Here is a 14838-nt window from a genome sequence, read left to right as displayed (position 1 = left end):
ACGCCTGTAATCCCAGCAGTTTGGGAGACCAAGGTAGGCGGGTCACCTGAGGTCAGGAGTTTGAGACCAGCCTGGCCAACATAGTGAAACCCATCTCTACTAAAAATACAAAAAGTAGCCGGGCGTGGTGGCACGCACCTGTAATCCCAACTACTCAGGAGGCTGAGGTAGGAGAATTGCTTGAAGCCGGGAGGCAGAGGTTGCAGTAAACCGAGATCACTCCACTGCACTCTAGCCTGGGCAACAGGAACAAGACTCCCATCTCAAAAAAAAAAAAAAAAAAAAAAAAAGGCCGGGTGTGGTGGCTCACGCCTGTAATCCCAGCACTTTGAGAGGCCAAGAAGGGTGGATCACGAGGTCAGGAGATCAAGACCATCCTGGCTAACAAGGTGAAACCCCGTCTCTACTAAAAAATACAAAAAATTAGCCGGGCGTGGTGGTGGGCGCCTGTAGTCCCAGCTACTCAGGAGGCTGAGGCAGGAGAATGGCATGAACCCGGGAGGTGAAGCTTGCAGTGAACCGAGATCGCGCCACTGCACTCCAGCCTGGGCAACAGAGTGAGACTCCGTCTCAGAAAAAAAGAAAAAAAAAAAGAATCTTTGATAGAAAACAGACATTTGTTCATAGTTCTATTATGTTTATAGTTAATAAATCCAAATCTCAGTTGTTTTAGGGTATATCATTTTTTACAATTCTGAGACAGAAACCAAGACGTTTTCCAGAGTATTTTGATCGTTTTTGTGTAGATACTTACAAGGAGATTACGATTTCGGTTGGAACGTGCACCTGGTGAAACTGCATTGATTGACAGGACTGGCAGAATGTTGAAGATGGAACCTTTGGCTACAGTTGAATCTCTGGAACAGTACCTTTTGAAAATGGTGAGTTTCTGGCAAGGGCACGGTGAAATAAGCATTCTGAGCTGTGGTTTAGCCTTTTAGGACAATAATTTGGGAAGTATATATCCAGAGTTATGGTAATACAGTTTGGCCCAGTAATTCCATTTTAGAACTGATTTCTACATGAAGATGTTTATTATAATTTTGTAATATTGAAATAGTAAACAAAAACCTTAATTCCAATCAATAAATTAATGTTAAATAGATAATTCATATTAAAAATTTAAATTTAATTGACAAATGTGTGTGATAATTATTTCTATTAATTTGAGTATCATATAGCCATAAAAATGTATAAAGACTAATGATAACAGAAAAATGTTTTTGTACAGTATGATCAAGAATTTGTTTTATCCTATCCATTGAAATAATAAACTAAAGAAATACTCTGTGATTATTAATAGTGAGGTGCTTTGGTTGTGGGACTTTTTATTTTTCTTTATATTTTTAAATGAGCATTTGTTTTTTGTTTTTGTTGTTGTTGTTGTTTTGTTTTGAGACAGAGTCTTGCTCTGTTGCCAGGCTGGAGTGCAGTGGCACAATCTCGGCTCACTGCAACCTCCGCCTCCCAGGTTCAAGTGATTCTCCTGCCTCAGCCTCCCAAGTAGCTGGGACTATAGGCACCTGCCACCACGCCTGGCTAATTTTTGTATTTTTAGTAGAAACGGGGTTTCACCATGTTGGCCAGGGTGGTCTCCATCTCTTGACCTCATGATCCACCCACCTCCGCCTCCCAAAGTGCTGGGATTACAGGCGTGAACCACCGCACCCGGCCTAAATGAGCATTTGTTATAATAAAAGAAAACAATTCACATTAAAGAGATAGGAAAAAAGTAGGTAACGTGCTTGAAAACAGCATTATTAAGGTGACTGTCTTTCATATTTTCTTTGGTTTAGGTAGCAAAACAGTGGTATGATTTTGACCGATCTTCATTTGTTTTTGTTCGAAAATTAAGAGAAGGACAAAATTTTATATTTCGGCACCAGCATGATTTTGATGAAAATGGAATCATTTACTGGATTGGAACAAATGCAAAGTAAGTCAGTCATTTTACTTTAAGCTGGAGTGACCATATTCACTTGGTAAAAGAATTCTAGGAAGTAGAATAAAATTGTTAGCACTCTGAATATTCTGTGGTTTAAGGAATTTTGACTTGTAGGTAGAAGTTAAGATTATCCAAATTACTTTTTATGAGGAAAAAATGTCTAAATTGCTAATTCTAGAATTGTACTTAATATAATTCTGTATTTAAAACCTTGTGCAAATGCAATTATCTTAACGTTGTTATTTGCTAATTTTTCTTTATTTTTGTATAGAACTGCTTATGAATGGGTAAATCCAGCTGCCTATGGACTTGTAGTAGTAACGTCATCAGAAGGAAGAAATCTACCTTATGGCCGCTTAGAAGACATACTAAGTCGTGATAATTCAGCTTTAAATTGTCATAGCAATGATGATAAGAATGCCTGGTTTGCCATAGATCTGGGTCTCTGGGTGATACCATCAGCATATACACTTCGTCATGCTCGTGGTTATGGAAGGTCTGCACTGAGAAATTGGGTTTTCCAGGTATCCAAAGATGGACAGAACTGGACTTCTTTGTATACCCATGTTGATGACTGCAGTCTCAATGAACCAGGGTTAGTTGAGGAGTCTTTGCAAATTGGAAAACTCACTAAAGAGCTTTGTTTATTTTTATAATTTTATACTCTAGAGCTCTCTTCCTTGTGAAATATTGAAGCAAAATTTTCTTTCTAAAAACAAATCACTTGATACTTTAGGCATTAAAACTTTGAAACACTGACTTTACTAAAACTTTGTCAAAAGGTTTAGTTTAAATAATAGAAAGCCGAGCTATTTTACACTGTATCTTAGCCAAAAGGCTGAGATGCTGTGAATATTTATTTTAAAAATTGGTATATAGCTGTATATACATACGCGCGCACACACACACACACACACACACACACACACACACACACACACACACACATTTATGCATACACACACAGCCCACTAATGGAAACAAGTGAAATAAACTTTCCATAAACTCTCCATATAATCACATAATACTTAGGAATGTTCAACATATTAGCAGTGGCTATTGCTCGTTATAGAATTAAGGCTGACTTAAAATGTTTTTATTTTTATCCTTAAATTTTATGTATTGAATAAGTTTTTAAAAGACAAGTCAGTAACTTCTAAAAAATTAGTTCTACTAAATTTTATTTATGCATTTTGGCACATATCAGGGGGTAGATTATGTACCCAAATTGCTTTTGGCATTTGATATGGTATGAGAGGAGCTTCTTAACATTAGGATTAATAGGTGATGTTTTCACCCCTTTCATGCTTTAAAGACAAAATATTAATACGTTATTTAAAAGTTTGCAAAAATGTTTTTAAGTCCGTTTTTCCATCATAAGAGAATTTCTCCTACTCTTTGTAAACCATCCTTTTTTTTTTTTTAAGGAGAATGGGGTCTTGTTATGTTGGCTGCTTTCTAACTTCTGGGCTCAAGTGATTCCCCTCACCTCAGCCACCCAAACACCACTGCACCCAGCATTTTGTCTTTTATCTTTGAATTATATTAATCATAAATCATTAATGTTATGAGTCAAATCAATAGCGTACATTTAAATGTTTCGTTTTTAACTTGTTCTCTTGACTACTTTTTTTCCTTTGATTTCTTGATTCTTGTAATGAACTGTTGAGTTAATATGAAAGTTAGTTTATTTTTTCTACAGGTCTCTGTTATATAAAAAATCTTTCCCATCTTGAATTTCTTTTTCATCTTTTAAAATATTACATAATTTTTTCTCTAACATATTAACAGGTCAACTGCAACTTGGCCTCTTGATCCACCAAAGGATGAGAAACAAGGGTGGAGACATGTGAGAATTAAACAGATGGGGAAAAATGCCAGTGGACAAACACACTACCTCTCATTATCTGGATTCGAACTTTATGGCACTGTAAATGGAGTATGTGAAGATCAGCTAGGTAAAGAGATGATACGAGGCTTTTCTAACTTACTAAAACAATTACTTTTGTAAAAAGTGATTTGGTTTTTATTTCTCCAATTTCTACCTGACAGGGAAAGCAGCTAAAGAAGCAGAAGCTAATCTTAGACGGCAGAGACGTCTAGTACGTTCCCAGGTTCTGAAATACATGGTTCCAGGAGCTCGTGTTATCAGAGGCCTGGATTGGAAATGGCGAGATCAGGATGGCAGCCCACAGGGAGAAGGCACTGTCACAGGAGAACTACACAATGGTGAGTAGGTGCTCAGCACTTTTGTGTAGAAAATGGGTAGTTAAATTTTTTCTTTTAAGATAATTTATAAATTGCATAAATGTATGAGCACTGTTTAGAAGAACTGTTGATACCACATTACAAATGGAAAAAAGGTAAAGAAAATAAGGGAAAATTTTAAGTTCTTGGGTTTTGACTAGAAACTTACTGGTAGTATTTTGGAAGTGATCAAGCCTAGTGTAAGTTGAGTATCTTCAAGACACACTTCCGGTTTTTTCCCCTAGTTTATTTTCAAGCTTACTGTGAGTTTTATTTTAATTTCTTATGTTTTTCTTTATCTTGTTAGTCTCACACCATAATTTTTATGGTATCATAAATCATATAGAAGAAAAAGGATTAACATTTTTACTGTTTTTTAATAATGCATGGAACAAGAAACATTGTCTCTTTATCTGTTAGTAGATTATTATTATTTCAAAGTGTTTCTTAGCCTACCTGCTTTTTGGGGAGGAGTTTATCATGTTTTCTAAATATTGCTATGTGAATCAAGTTTCTTTGATGCTGCACAGTTTAGCAAAGTCATCCACTTAATAAATTGCTATTAACTTTAAAGCAATTATAGTGGCTAATTATTTTCTTCAAACTATAAGGCTGACTTATTAGCAGATAATTTGCCTAAATGGCAGTGGGTTTGTTTTCATCAATTTTGTATCAGTTTTTGGCATTAAAAAAAGTAAAAATGTTTATATTCTCAACTTACACCACATATATATATCCACATATATGTGTGTGTATATATATGTATTTTTTTTTTTTTTTTTGAGACAGAGTCTCGCTCTTGTTGCCCAGGCTGGAGTGCAATGGCGCAATATCAGCTCACTGCAACCTCTGCTTCCCAGGTTCAAGCGATTCTACTGTCTCAGCCTCCTGACTAGCTAGGATTATAGGCATGGGCCACCATGCCTGGCTAATTTTGTATTTTTAGTAGAGACGGGGTTTCTCCATGTTGGTCAGGCTGGTCTTGAACTCCCGACCTCAGGTGATCCACCCACCTCGGCCTCCCAAAGAGCTGGGATTACAGGCGTGAGCCACCGCACGCGGCAACTTACACCACATATTTAAAGAGCTAGAATAAATGTGACGGTACTTACGAGAATGACTGACATTTAATTTCATGTTTTATGTGGTAAAGACATTTATTTATTCAAATAAACCCTTTGACTATATTGCTTTTAAGATTCTATTCCTTGAATTATTTTACTGCCAAATGTATTTATGTAGTATCATGCCCTAATTGCAAATCATTGTAATCAAAACAGGTTTACAGCGACCTAAAATTCATAAATACCAGTAATAGTTGAGATATCAACTATTATTGTTATACTGAGTTGAATAGTAGTGCCATTCAACTCAGAAAATTTCAAGTTTTCTTTTTAGGCATCTTGATGATACTTATTAAAAAGTTGTTATTCTATTTCCTGTAATTGTTTTGGCCTTGATGTATGTGACTTGATAAGAAGAGGCTAGTTAGAGATGTGTGAATGCAGTTCTTTTTTCTCAGGATGGAGTCAACTGAAGCAATTGCATAGGGAAATTAGAATCTTTTTTTTTTTCCCAAGATACAATGGCACAACAGTTTTAATACAACCACCAGTCTTCAAAAAATAATTTTAATACTTTGTGCCTGTACTAGCAGCATCTTGCACTGTGACATTCCTATACATACATAAGCATTTTATTGAAGTACAAATGTTAAAAGCAGAGTAACTTAAGCAATTGCCTATACAAAGGTAAATAGACACTGTGGGTTATTTTTCTTCTCGATTCATTTTTGCTGCATAGTAAGTTGCAATTACATGTCAGTATAATAATGTTACTGATCTATAAAATATATTTGAACCGTGAGGTATGGCACCTCCCTATGAGAGAGTGCTAACATGTACATCTGAATATTTTGAGTGTTTTTTGTTTGTTTGTTCGTTTTAGCTGCCACAGATGGGAAAAAAAAAAATCACCTAGCCTAGAAATCTCAGAGTTTAGCGTTCAAGAAAGGCCTATTTTTGCTAATCTGACAAATGTAGAAATTTAGTTTTGCCTAATCAACATGGCCATTCCCATCAAGTTATGCCTTTGAGTCTCTATGTCAGAGAGGGTTCTTAGCTTTCAAATACTTAAACCAACCATTTCTAATGATGGATAGTCATTACTGACTCTATTTTTTTTTTTTTTTGGTTTATCTTTTGGGTGTAGAAGGAGTTGAGAGAGTATGTTTTTTGGGCCAATTAATATAATACAAAAGTTACTTTTATTTGAGATTGGGCTATGTTTTTGAAACTTTTCCTTTTCTCACACATTTCTGTGTAGCAGAAGAGATAGTTAAATGTTGGTTCTTCAGAGATTATTTCAGCATACAGAAAAAAATAGAGGCAATTGAAAAATCTCATCTAAGCTACTTATGTAGATTTGGGGCAGTCACTTTTCCTTTCAAAGAACACATATGCAGATAATCCCCACAGGTAATTCAATATTATTTCCCTCTGAGTGCTATCATAAACATATGAACTTGGTGTAAGTGTGGGTGAGCATCTGGGTGTGTGGATGGGTGTGTATGTGATCTTGGGCCCCTTTTATGTATGGGTAAGAACTTTATAAAGGCTTGTTATACTTCTAAAAAAATGTTTTTTATGTCTTATGTTTTTCCCTGAAATAGTTAGCTTATAACACTAAAATAAGATTGTAAAATTTCTATTAATTTGCTTTTAATAGACAATTTTTTTTTTGCTTTTGGAAGTTAATTACCTTTTTAAAAAAAGAATATCATTTTTCTACTACAAGTAAATATATAGATTGAATATCATTATGCTCGTTAATTCTGTACATGTTATTAGCTTTAGCAGATAGTTCTAATAAAAGAGTTCAGTATGCTCTTTAAATTTTTTTTTAGAATTTTCTGTGTTTATTCAAATTTATTGAACTTAATTATTTAATATAAGAGAACCAAGGAACCACTGAACTTTGAGAACACAACCGAAATGCTAACTTTAGTGTTTTATTTGAACTAGTGACTAAAATTTCTATGGCAATATATGAATATTTTGAGAGGTTAGCCCAAATTGTAAGAAATTAATGGTAAGCTGGCATGTTTTTGTAGAAAAAAAATTTGACTACACATAATTATATTTAGCAGTTTTAAAACTTTTACCTAGATTCTGTTTACTTGCTGAAGTGGCAGTATTTTACCATGTATATCAATCTTTTAAAATTTCTTAAACAGTTCTTCCATTTAAGAAGTAACCAAGCCAGGTGCAGTGGCTCACATCTATAATCCCAGCTACTCCAGAGGCTGAGGTGGGAGGATCGTTTAAGCCCAGGAGTTCAAGATTAGCATGGGCAACGCAAGACCTCATCTCTAAAAATCAAATAATTTTAAAAATGAAATATAACCCAGTAGATTTAAACATGACCCTTACATTGCTTTTAAATGTCATAGACTGAATAGTTCAGAAATAAGGGAAATAAAAGGAAGAATTTTAAACATTTCCTGGAAACCTTGTATAGAGTACATATTTCTTGTCCTTAAAATATTTGTATCATGAGAGTTAAATAATATAGACTTTCAGATAGCTAGTCATATCGTCAAATAATTGAGTCCAAAAATTTACATATATTTTAGTGGGCAGACCTTGATTGACTATAGAAATTCAGAAAAGGACAGCACTGATGAAAAGCTGATCCCATATTGTGGAGCTACTGTCTGACACGCTCCTATCTGCTTTCTGCTGGGTCTCACAAACTCCTGTCCCTTTCCAGGCTGGATTGATGTCACCTGGGATGCTGGTGGCTCAAACTCTTACCGTATGGGCGCAGAAGGAAAATTTGACCTCAAGCTTGCACCAGGGTACGACCCTGATACAGTGGCATCACCCAAACCTGTTTCATCCACTGTTTCAGGCACAACGCAATCATGGAGCAGCTTGGTGAAAAACAACTGTCCAGACAAGACATCTGCTGCTGCAGGCTCCTCAAGTAGAAAAGGAAGCAGCAGTTCTGTGTGTAGCGTGGCCAGTAGCAGCGACATCAGCTTGGGTTCGACCAAAACGGAACGGAGATCAGAAATTGTAATGGAACACAGTATAGTTTCAGGAGCTGATGTCCATGAACCAATTGTTGTTCTTTCATCTGCTGAAAACGTCCCTCAAACAGAAGTAGGGTCATCTTCCAGTGCAAGCACCAGCACCTTAACAGCGGAAACGGGAAGTGAAAATGCTGAAAGGAAGTTAGGCCCTGATAGTTCTGTTCGTACTCCTGGGGAGTCTAGTGCAATATCCATGGGAATTGTCAGTGTTAGTTCTCCTGATGTTAGTTCAGTATCTGAATTAACTAATAAAGAAGCAGCTTCACAACGACCTCTTAGCTCTTCAGCAAGTAACAGACTGTCAGTGAGTTCTTTGTTGGCTGCTGGGGCCCCTATGAGCTCTAGTGCAAGTGTACCTAACCTGTCCTCAAGAGAAACATCTAGCTTGGAGAGTTTTGTAAGGAGAGTGGCAAACATAGCACGGACTAATGCCACGAACAACATGAATCTAAGCCGAAGCAGCAGTGATAACAACACTAATACTTTGGGGAGGAATGTGATGAGCACAGCAAGTAAGTGAGCTTTTCCTTCTGGAATCCGATGCTTTTTCCACTTGGAGGGATGCAAAATAGGGTCTCTTGTTCTGGCTGCAGTTTTTAACTAGATCATTAACCATGTTAGATAAAGCTACATCAAATTTAGCAGTTCAGGAATATGAAGTTCTCTAGAATCATAATATTTGCAGAATTCAGACTAGGTGTGATAAAGAACCTCTTATTTTAGAAGCATAAAACAGTACTTCTGATTTTCACTCCTTTATGATACATCATTAAGCAAAGTTGCATGAGGAAATAGATGACTATTAAATATTATCATAGTGCAGTGAAACCAAAGCATCATATAAGTATAGCTTTTGTTTAGACTCTACATTGATCTTAGCTTCTGAAAGTTAAATTCCAATTTAAGCTGCTAACAGGTCAAAGTAATTATATAATAGTGCTATAAAAAGAATTTTTAGTTGGATTTCAGTTGGGTTCCCAAAGTTGTTGCTTTTCAGGAACCATTTTATTATTAGTGTGTTTTATGACCTCACTCTTTAAAAAATAAAAAACTTGGTTTTTCTGAGGTTTCTACAATCTCACCTATTTGTACTGATTTGCTTCATTTTTGTCTTTAGCTTCTCCTCTTATGGGTGCTCAGAGTTTCCCTAATTTGACCACACCTGGTACTACATCAACAGTGACTATGTCAACATCCAGTGTTACTAGCAGCAGCAATGTAGCTACAGCAACAACAGTTTTATCAGTTGGTCAATCTTTAAGTAACACTTTAACCACCAGCCTCACATCAACTTCCAGTGAGAGTGACACAGGTCAGGAAGCAGAATATTCCTTATATGGTAAGTTGTAATTTAAAATGAAAGTATTTAGATACTTTCATAATGATGCTTTTATTATGTTTTCTCCTGATATTTTAAACTTTTGTTTAAAGAGAATTATTCTCTCTTCTTATAAATATGAAATCTTCGGGCCAGGCACAGTAGCTCACACCTGTAATCCCAGCACTTTGGGAGGCCGAGGCAGGTGGATCAGTTGAGGTCAGGAGTTCGAGACCAGCCTGACCAACATGGTAAAACCCCATTTCTACTAAAAATACAAAAGAAAATTATCCGGGAGTGGTGGCACACGCCTGTAATCCCAGCTACTCAGGAGGCTGAGGCAGAAGAATTGCTTGAGCCCAGGAGGCGGAGGTTACAGTGAGCAGAGATCGCGCCATTGCACTCCAGCCTGGGCAACAAGAGCGAAACTCCTTCTCAAAAAAAAAACAGAAAACAACAAACAAATACAGAATCTTTATATATAATATGAAAAAACTCAGTAATACGAGAGACTATTAAAAAATTATCTGGGGCCAGGTGCGGTGGTTCACACCTATAATCCTAGCACTTTGGGAGGCCAAGGCGGGCGGACCACTTGAGGTCAGGAGTTCGAAACCAGCCTGGCCAACATGGTGAAACCCTGTCCCTACTAAAAATATAAAAAAAATTAGCTGGGCGTGGTGGCGGTTGCCTGTAATCCCAGCTACTGGGAAGGCTGAGGCAGGAGAATCGCTTGAACCCGGGAGGTGGGGGTTGCAGTGAGCTGAGGTCGCACCACTGCACTTCAGCCTGGGCGACAAAGCAAGACTCCGTCTCAAAAAAAAAAAAAAAATCTGGTCAGAAGTGGTGGCTTGCGCCTATAATCCCAGCACTTTGGGACGCCAAGGTGGGAGGATCACCTGAGGCTCAGGAACTCAAGACCAGTCTGGGCAACATAGACCCCCATCTTTACCACCCCTACATCCCCAAAATTAGCCAGGTGTGATGTCATGCTACTGAGAAGGCTGAGGTGAGAGGGTTACTTGAGCCCTGAAGTTCAAGGCCCCAGTGAGCTGTGATCATGCCACTGCACTCCAACCTCAGTGACAGGGCTAGACCCTATCTCTGAAAAAATATTTTTTTTTAAATTGCAATTATCTGATTATACATGAAGTAGATCTAGGAACTTTATATGTCATTTTTTTTTGTATTTTGTCACAAAAGAAGTTTTAATGGAAGAACCATAAAGCTATTTGACACTCTTATCACTAAGAGAAGAAGTGTAATAGATTCATAAGCTTTGTAAAATGATATTCCTTGTATGCTGTTATCACAGTCTTTTGGAAGTAATTCCTTAGTTAGGTAATGCATGATTCTTGCAAATTAAATTTTATTTGGAAAGTTCAGTAACAGCCTTATGGCTTCCATGCTATAATCAAAGGGATGTATTTGATTCAGTTAAGATAGAATCTGTGTTTCTATTTCTTTTATTTCATCTTATTAGAAAAGTAATGCTCTGTATAGAAACTAGAAGAAAATTAAAATCATCTAGTCCCCACCTACCAGACAACCAGCTTTGATGTACATCATTTGATGTATGTTTTTGTTTTTTTAACATAAAAGGATTATATCCTTTTCCGCCAGCTGTTTTCACTCAATACATTGTGAAAATATTTTCACATATGTTGCATGGGTTTCTATAACATTTGAAATGACTGCCAAATATTTCACTGTATGATCATCATTTAATATTATTATCAATTTTGTATATTTAAGTTAGAACTTTTCCATTACCATAAACATCATTATGAATGAGCTTTCTTGAACTGTATTTTAATATACTTCCTTAGGATAAATGCTTAAAGTAATAATTATTGAATTGCTTTCCAAAAACATTGCACTCCATCCCAATTGTTTTGGAATACCCTTTACCATATATCCTTGATCATACTGCCTGTTTTTCTTTAAAAAAAAAAAATTGGGAGTAATTTTAAAGACAAAGTTTATGTGAAGATACATTTTTAAGGTGCTATTTTGTGTATAGCCCATTTTCATGTTTTCTTCCTTTTTGTGAGAATATAGCCTCTCCTAATTCATAGCAAGAATTTGATATGATGTTCCATAGTTTTAAGAGAGTCATTATATTTCTGTTTCTGCTTATTAAACGTGTGTGTAGCAAAATGATGATGATTACACCAAAGTGTTATAAATTCATTGCATAAGGTGTTTTCTGATTTATTATTTCTCATGGTGGCCCTGTGCCCCTCTCTACTGATTTGTTATTATGTTAACTTCAAGCATTAGTTCTTGGTCATGGGAAGTTGAAGATGATTGTGGGTAGGAAAGAGTGAACTGGCCGGGCGCTGTGGCTCACGCCTGTAATCCTAGCTCTTTGAGAGGCTGAAGCGGGCAGATTGCCTGAGGTCAGGAGTGTGAGACCAGCCTGGGCAACATGGTAAAACCCTCTTTACTAAAGTACAAAAAATTAGCCAGGTGTGGTGGCCCACTCCTGCAGTCCTAACTGCATAGGAGGCTAAGGCACCAGAATCTTTTGAACCTGGGAGGCGGAGGTTGCATTGAGCCACGATTGTGCCATTTGCATTCTAGCCTGGGCAACAGGGCAAGACTCTGTCTCAAAAAAAAAAAAAAAAAAGTTAGAACTACTGATTGACTTTTAAATTTTGTTGTTAGGTTTGACTAGCCTTAAAAAAATTTATTGTTGGCCGGGCACAGTGGCTCACGCCTATAATCCCAGCATTTTGGGAGGCCAAGGTGGGCAGATCACAAGGTCAGGAGTTCGAGACTAGCCTGGCCAATATGGCGAAACCTGTCTCTACTAAAAAATACAAAAACTAACCGGGTGTGGTGGCGGATCCCTGTAGTCCCAGCTTCTCAGGAGGCTGAGGCAGGAGAATCTCTTTAACCCGGGAGGTGTAGGTTACAGTGAGCCAAGATTGTGCCATTGCACTCCAGCCTGGGTGACAGAGCGAGACTCCATCTCAAAAAAAAAAAAAAAATTTATTGTTAGATGATGAAAAAAATTAATATAATTTTTATTTTAGATTCAGGGGATATATGTGCAGGTTTGTCACAGGGGTATATTGTGTGATGCTGAGATTTGGACTTCTATTGATCTTATCACTCAAATGGTGAACATAGTACCCAATAGGAAGTTTTCAGCCCTTGCCCACTCTTGCACTCCTTTTGGAGTCGCTAGTGTCTACTGTTCCCATCTTGATGTCCATGTGTACCCAAGGTTTAGCTCCTACTTATAAGTGAGAACATATGATAGAAGATTTTCTTTTTTATATTCTTAAAGCTGGTAGATACTTTAAGACTGCTGGGGTGAAGGATCAGAGTAACATCAGTTTATACCATTTGTGTATGCTGTGCAAGCTTTTACTGTGTTTTGTGGTTTTTCTCTTACCGCAGGCACGAATACTATACCATGTTGTGTTTTGAAGAGACATTTTATTCTATGATGTGGTCAAATCTGTGAAATACAGAGCTTTTTAATGCTGGTAAAAAAGGGAAGATGAGAAAAAAAAAGGGACATCAGTCAGTTGTAACATACCGGAGATAGAATTTCAATATATGAAGTTAGATTATGTTCTTTAAAAGACAAATCAAAGTGGAACTGGTTTATTTTGTGTACCACCACATCATGTTAATCACAACCAGTTCCTAAATTGCAGGTGGCTCCTTACAAGTGTTAAAGGGTAACATATTTTATCAAATTTAAGATGCTGTTGAGTGTTAAGACACACCATTTTTTTTCTGTTACTAAGGTTAAAAATGTTGCAATTTAATTCTGACTTGCCATTGTTTGTAAGATACATTCCGATTTCAAAGCATTACAATGTTTTAAAAATGTAGACCTTTCAACCTGAGAAAGTTGATAACAGCAAAAAAATGTGGACCCTTAGAAACTAATGAAATATAATGGCAGGCCTCTTCTACTGGCCATCCAGTAAAAGGCACTGAATATTTAGTCCTGTGTAATTATTGGACTAAAAACCATTTGGTTCAGTGGTCTGCAGGTGTAAGTTTCTGAGCAATTATAAATTGTCTTCTGGATGTTCTTCAGGAATATAAAGTATTTTGTTTTCTATCCTTTGTGCAATTCTGATATTATATTTTACTATTTTTTCCAGATCCAGTAAAAACTTCTGTTATAATCCCTTTAGTCCTCTTTTTTTCAGTTTTTATGAAGAACAGTTTGTCAGCATCTTCATTTATGCAGGACAATGTAATTTGACCCAGTCTCCATCGAAGGCAAGAGATTATAAGAAGGAAGGAGATAAAAATGATGCAAGTTGTTTTGAACTTCCTTATGTGCTAGATAATATGGATAACATGAAAGATGCCACATACATTATTCCGTAGTAAATAGGCATTATCTTAAGTAGTCATTGTTTTTAAGTAACCTACCAGGTCACATATCTAAGCCCCGTTTTTCACTGATTGACTTAATTCTGTTTTTCCTCGTAAGATCTTTTACATGTTGTAAAGGTTTGTTTTTTTGGTTATTGTTTTTTAAATAGCCCCACATGGTTATCCATTTATATTATGATTTTGTAATTCAGGTTTAGTTTATGGTTGTCCTTTATCACTTGTTTTTGTCATGCTTGTGTCTGTGCTCATCTTGTATGTGGTGGCAGAACGCAACAGTTGTCCCTTTTGAATTTTACTTTTGTTTTGTAAAAACCTAAAATGCAAAGTTCCTTTGTTATGCTTTCTTAATTGTGTTGACATAAGGTTGTGGGTTTTGTTTTCAAGATTTCCTTGATAGCTGCCGTGCCAGTACTCTATTGGCTGAGCTCGATGATGATGAGGACTTACCTGAGCCAGATGAAGAAGATGATGAGAATGAAGATGACAATCAGGAGGACCAAGAATACGAGGAGGTTATGGTAGAGAGAGTACCCCATTCTCTTTACAAAGATAGGATGTTAATAATTGAAATGAAGAAAGGAAAAGCTAAGTCATAATCAAACTTTGAAGCAAGGAAATGTGGCACCAGTATAAAAAATGTAGTTAATTAAGAAAAGCAGTTTTAATCTGAGCATTTATGATTCTCCACTTAAAGAAAATAAGTTGCTTATATTTGAAAAATTTTAGAATGTCACATGATGTTTTAACAGGCTTAAAAGGGTGTGAAATTAGGCTGGGTATAGGGCTCATGCCCTGTAGTCCCACACTTTGACATTTGTAGTCCTGGCTACTTGGGAGGCTGAGGTAAAAAATCACTTG

The 14838-nt window shown here is 36.6% G+C and overlaps 1 protein-coding gene across 22 annotated transcripts in view, besides 1 other annotated feature; it reads left to right on the top strand.

Moving 5' to 3' along the window:
• The window catches only part of HECTD1 (HECT domain E3 ubiquitin protein ligase 1), a 107677-nt gene that overhangs the window by 70382 nt on the left and 22457 nt on the right, over positions 1 to 14838 (top strand). For 5 of the 22 annotated variants that reach the window (XM_047431202.1, NM_001437347.1, NM_001437348.1 and 2 more), the window contains 8 exons: positions 747 to 881; positions 1797 to 1936; positions 2217 to 2540; positions 3737 to 3903; positions 3998 to 4174; positions 7964 to 8800; positions 9406 to 9627; positions 14365 to 14498. In XM_047431202.1, the coding sequence (XP_047287158.1) occupies positions 747 to 881; positions 1797 to 1936; positions 2217 to 2540; positions 3737 to 3903; positions 3998 to 4174; positions 7964 to 8800; positions 9406 to 9627; positions 14365 to 14498 (2136 nt within the window). Of the gene's footprint in view, positions 1 to 746; positions 882 to 1796; positions 1937 to 2216; positions 2541 to 3736; positions 3904 to 3997; positions 4175 to 7963; positions 8801 to 9405; positions 9628 to 13787; positions 13897 to 14364; positions 14499 to 14838 lie in introns of those variants that run through there. The other 17 variants (XM_047431206.1, NM_001411010.1, NM_001439061.1 and 14 more) reach the window with 6 other exon arrangements.
• Positions 13876 to 14713: an enhancer, noted in NCBI's record as "OCT4-NANOG-H3K27ac-H3K4me1 hESC enhancer chr14:31591905-31592742 (GRCh37/hg19 assembly coordinates)". NCBI's record gives its function as "activates a minimal SCP1, AML or CMV promoter by ChIP-STARR-seq in primed H9 embryonic stem cells {active_cell/tissue: H9 hESC(primed)}" and the evidence as "EXISTENCE:reporter gene assay evidence [ECO:0000049][PMID:30033119]".

Source organism: Homo sapiens, chromosome 14 (assembly GCF_000001405.40).
Source record: "Homo sapiens chromosome 14, GRCh38.p14 Primary Assembly".
Lineage (NCBI taxonomy): Eukaryota > Metazoa > Chordata > Mammalia > Primates > Hominidae > Homo > Homo sapiens.
The sequence above is the reverse complement of the archived record's forward strand: the minus strand, read 5'-3'. Positions and strand labels throughout refer to the sequence as shown.